General features: G+C 51.2%; 5 annotated features.

The window, feature by feature from the left end:
• Nucleotides 123-624: an enhancer, noted in NCBI's record as "H3K4me1 hESC enhancer chr14:95835461-95835962 (GRCh37/hg19 assembly coordinates)". NCBI's record gives its function as "activates a minimal SCP1, AML or CMV promoter by ChIP-STARR-seq in naive H9 embryonic stem cells {active_cell/tissue: H9 hESC(naive)}" and the evidence as "EXISTENCE:reporter gene assay evidence [ECO:0000049][PMID:30033119]".
• Nucleotides 625-1,124: an enhancer, noted in NCBI's record as "H3K4me1 hESC enhancer chr14:95835963-95836462 (GRCh37/hg19 assembly coordinates)". NCBI's record gives its function as "activates a minimal SCP1, AML or CMV promoter by ChIP-STARR-seq in naive H9 embryonic stem cells {active_cell/tissue: H9 hESC(naive)}" and the evidence as "EXISTENCE:reporter gene assay evidence [ECO:0000049][PMID:30033119]".
• Nucleotides 625-4,143: a biological region, named in NCBI's record as "VISTA enhancer hs1486".
• Nucleotides 1,076-4,143: an enhancer, noted in NCBI's record as "VISTA enhancer hs1486". NCBI's record gives its function as "enhancer in: limb[5/8]" and the evidence as "EXISTENCE:transgenic organism evidence [ECO:0001131][PMID:17130149]".
• Nucleotides 2,381-2,933: an enhancer, noted in NCBI's record as "H3K4me1 hESC enhancer chr14:95837719-95838271 (GRCh37/hg19 assembly coordinates)". NCBI's record gives its function as "activates a minimal SCP1, AML or CMV promoter by ChIP-STARR-seq in primed H9 embryonic stem cells {active_cell/tissue: H9 hESC(primed)}" and the evidence as "EXISTENCE:reporter gene assay evidence [ECO:0000049][PMID:30033119]".

Below are 4,649 nucleotides of genomic sequence, written 5' to 3' on the forward strand. Positions count from 1 at the left end.
ATCACCTGAGGTCAGGAGTTCGAGACCAGCCTAGCCAACATGGCAAAACCCTGTCTCTACTAAAAATAAAAAAATTAGCTGGGCATGGTGGCATGCATCTGTAATCCCAGCTACTGGGGAGGCTGAGGCAGGAGAATGGCTTGAACCCAGGAGGTGGAGGTTTCAGTGAGCCAAGATCGCTCCATTGCACTCCAGCCTGGGCAACAGAGTGAGACTCTGTTTCAAACAAACAAGCAAACAAACCAGGAAAACAAAAACCAAATTAAATGAAGGAGCTGGGATCGAGGTCTGTAAACAGAGCAGGATCAGGGTAACCCTTTGAGTTCCGCCTGATCAGATTCAGATTTGAGAGTAGTGTCACCACGGCTGAGGAGGCTTCCCAAGGTGACATGGACTGAGGGATCATGTCTCACTTCTGCGTTCTCAACTAGCAGGACTCACTCTTCCATGGCCTGAGGGCTGCAGAATGGAGGGGAAACAGAGTCCTGCCCTGGCTTGGGAGTTGGAGACCTGAGTTCCTGCCCTGCCTTGCTATGAGCCCCACTCTGTGTGGGACCCAGTGTCCTCACGAATGGAGTCTGTCTTGCGCAGGAGCAGGCAGGCGGCCCACGTATAATAAACAGCTGATCCTCAGATCATAGAGGGTAAAGGGTAGGGGTGAAAATGGAGGGTGCGTGCCCTGCCTGTAAGCACTAAATTCAAACATTTAAAGATGACCGTGCGCTGCTGACCAGGCAGACTTGGCGAGCAGGGTGCCAGTTTGAGATCCCTCAGCTAGAGGATTTCTAGGGCCCAGTCTGGTTTGACAGCCCCTCTTCCTACCCACCATACCTGTGCCTTACCCATCTCCTGAACTCCTGTCCTTCACATCCTTACCCAGGAAAAGGCTAAGGAATGGCCTGGGAAATGTTTATTACATCAAGTGGGGCATGTAGTGATACCATTGAATAAGTTATCCTTGAAAGATGTTTAGTGTTTGGGAGTTTGCAAGCTCAGACCATTTTTGAAGGGGAAAAAAAAAGTCTTTGTGTTGAATGTTCAGTTCCTCTGGCGTCCGGAAGGTTCAAACCAGTTCTTTCCATCCCCTTCAAACAGATTTCTGTCTCTGTGGGATGCCCCAAATGAAGGAACTGGCTTACCTTTCAGAGTCACAGGGTAGAAAAATATGTATGACTTTAAGCCCTAGAGAAGCCTGGATAGCCAGTGCTCCCCTTGGGGCGGTGTCTGGGGCTGAGATGGTGGAGGGAGCGCAGAGGCAAGTCTCCCAACCTCAACTCTGAGTGGAACAGCAGGAGCTATTACCACACCATTTACATGTGTTATGCCTCTGTCTGTGCAAGCTCCTGTAGATGAATTTGCAAGTTAAATGCATTTAGGTTACAACCATACCATACAAGGCACCTAATTTTCTTCTTACAAAGAATGACTAATCACCTGTTAGGAGAACTTTTGAGGACTATTATAGTATCATTTTATATATGTGTGTGTAAGGAGGCAAAGTATATGAGTGTGTATATATATTTGTCTCTTTATTAAAGACCACTTCTGTGATCTCAAATGTCATTGTCACTCTGAATTTAGACATTCATGCACACATAGGGTTGCTAGAGAAATACAAGACACCCACTTACGTTTGAATTTCAGATAAACAACGAGCACTTTTTAGCATAAGTACGTCCCAGGCAATATTTGGGAATACTCACATTCAAAAAGTATTTGCTTTTTGCCTACATTCAAATTTAACTGGACATCCTGTATTTTTATTTGATAAATCTGAGAATGCTACAGACACACAAATACACACATTTGTGGATATGCCTCCACAACACCCCCGATACAGAGACACAAATAGTGCACACGTATGCATAACTTGGCTGTCCTTTGCCATGGATTCAGACACACACACACACACACACACACACACACACACACTTCCTCCTCTATCATGAGCACAGCTGTGTCCCCAAGGTGCCCTCCGAGTTGAGTTTACAACCGCAGGGTCTGTTGCTGCTTCCTGAGGCGGGTTCCTCCCGGGTTTCTTTAAGAACCTGCAGTTCTGGGCAGCCATTACTCTTTCCTGAAGTTCCCATGGATTTAACAGCTTTGGACCTGGTTTGGAGCAGGGCCCCGGCTGCAGGCTTCCCTCCCGTCCAGGCTGCCCTGCCTGCCTCTCCCTGAAGGCGTCTCGGTTACTTGCGGGCCTGGCCGGGCTGGCTGGTGGGCTTTCTTGGGAGCAGGCCTCTTCCCTCCGGCTCCCCAGCTGCTCGTATCCGGGTTTACAGCCCCGGGGCAGTGCCTACAGGGCCTGCAGGCTGGATGTTCTGAGATTTTTATTGGCATCTCCATCAAGATGAGGGCCATGGGGGTCCTTCAGGTCTTCCGGAGCCGCTTTATTGGGGCTGGCCTTCCAGACACGGCGGGGAGCAGCGATTTCCAGGGGAATCTGGTTTCTCTGCTGGGCTCGCACCCGTTTCCTCTGTGTTTGGCTTGGCAGCGCCTGGGCCTGGCCTGTTTTGAGCCTCACCTCGTGCTTGGGCTTTTGTGGCCTGTCGGTGGATGAGGTGGCGCGGAGTAGCCGTTTCTCCTCAGCCGCAGGGACACAAACGGAGCTTTGTATGGGGCAGACGCAGGTGGAAGGGAAGGAGCTCAGGCCTCTCCTGTGCTCGGGGAAATGCTCTGGAGTTGGAGGACGTTAAAACACAAGTGCAAACCACTCCAGATCGTCTGCACCTTGAAAGCCCAAGCTCACTCGTGGGAGGACTGAATGGCCGGGTCTCAATGACTGCCGCCTTCTTTGGGACCCGGAATAGGAAAGAGGTGCAGGGAATAATATTCTGCGAGGGGATTTAAATTTTAAAACCCCAGTGGGGGTTAAGCTCACAGTGAGCTCTGGGCAGCAGATGGCCAGAGTGACCTTGGCGTTTGAGGCGGGGAAGGCAATGCCTGGGGAGAGAGTGCCTGTCCCGGGGGGTCCCCTGCTGTCCACAGGTCAGCCCATGTGGGCCACCAAACCAAATGACTAGCCAGCCGGCTTGTAATAAAAGATTCAGGATTGGCCCGGCGCATTGGCTCACACCTGTAATCCCAGCACTTTGGGAGGCCGAGGCGGGTGGATCACGAGGTCAGGAGTTTGAGACCAGCCTGACCAAGATGGTGAAGCCCCATCTCTACTGAAAATACAAAAATTAGCCTGGCACTGTGGTGGGCACCTGTAATCCCAGCTACTCGGGAGGCTGAGGCAGGAGAATTGCTTGAACCTGGGAGGCAGAAGTTGCAGTGAGCCAAGATCGCACCACTGCGCTTTAGCCTGGGGGATGGAGGAAGACTCTGTCTCAAAAAAAAAAAAAAAAAAAGATTCAGGATTAGTGTTTGACCTGAATTATGTCCCCCTCCAAATTCATATGATGAAGTCCTTGTGAATGTAGGTACTTCAGAATATGACTGTCCCCACCTCCCTGCAACCTCTGCCTCCCAAGTTCAAGATATTCTCCTGCCTCAGCCTCCCAAGTAGCTGGGACTACGGTGTGCGCCACCATGCCCAGCTAATTTTTGTATTTTTAGTAGAGATGGGTTTTTGCCATGTTGGCCAGGCTGGTCTCGAACACCTAACCTCAGGTGATCCACCTGCCTTGGCCTCCCAAAATGCTGGGATTATAGGCATGAGCTGCTGTGTCCAGTCTGGACATAGGGTCTTTAAAAAGATAATTAAACTAAAATGAGGTCAAACTGGTGGGCTCTAATCCAATGGGACTGATGCCCTCGTAAAAGAGGAAATGTGGACACAGATACACGCAGAGAAGTCCATGTGAGGACACAGGGAGAAGACAGACGTCTGCAAGCCAAGGAGAGAGGCCTCAACAGAAACCAGCCCAGCTGACACCTTGATCTCAGACTTCCAGCCTCCAGAACAGTGAGGAAGTCAGTTTCTGTTGTTTACACCCCCCAGTCTGTGGTACTTTGTTGCCGAGGCCCAAGCAAACAAATATGGTAGCCACAAGAAGGAAATGATCAGGGCGGGTCTTAATTTTGTTTTTTATACTCGGCCGATTGGAGAAGGTGGCCGCACACTTGTAGTAGAGTGTGATCACAGAGACACCAGTGCGTCCAGCTCTCGGGGCCATTCATTTCACCTCCATGTGAGCCAACTCAGCCTGCAGTTCAGCCCACTGTCCTTTATTCACTTACAGTTTGAGGTGCCCATGAAGCAGGTCCTGAGACTTAGGTGTCAGTAGTTTATCTGGGAAGTTGTTCCAGGAAATAGATGAGGGAACAGGGATGGGAGGAAAGCCAAAACCAGGGAGGGTCATGAGACAGTTGTGGTGGGTGGGCCTCAGGAGCTCGGTGCACCAGGGACCCTCTGAGAGTCTATCTGGTGCCCCTCGGAATCGTCCCACCAAGGGCAGGAAGCCAAGGAGTTTTTGCAGCCACCCAGGCTATGCCCCGGTGAAGGTCATTCCAGCTGCTGGAGAAGCTCGTCAGGCACAGGACACGGGAGATGGCCTGAGGGGGTGGGAATGTGTTCCCTGGGGTCAGCTGAGGATGGGGCACCAACGGCCTCTGCCCACTCTCTCACGAATCTTGCTAACCCAAGAGCTGGCCAGAACCCAATCCCTAATCTTGCTGATGGAGGCCCTCAGCCACCTTGCCCC

The sequence above is a fragment of the Homo sapiens genome, chromosome 14 (assembly GCF_000001405.40).
Source record: "Homo sapiens chromosome 14, GRCh38.p14 Primary Assembly".
Taxonomy (NCBI): Eukaryota; Metazoa; Chordata; class Mammalia; order Primates; family Hominidae; genus Homo; species Homo sapiens.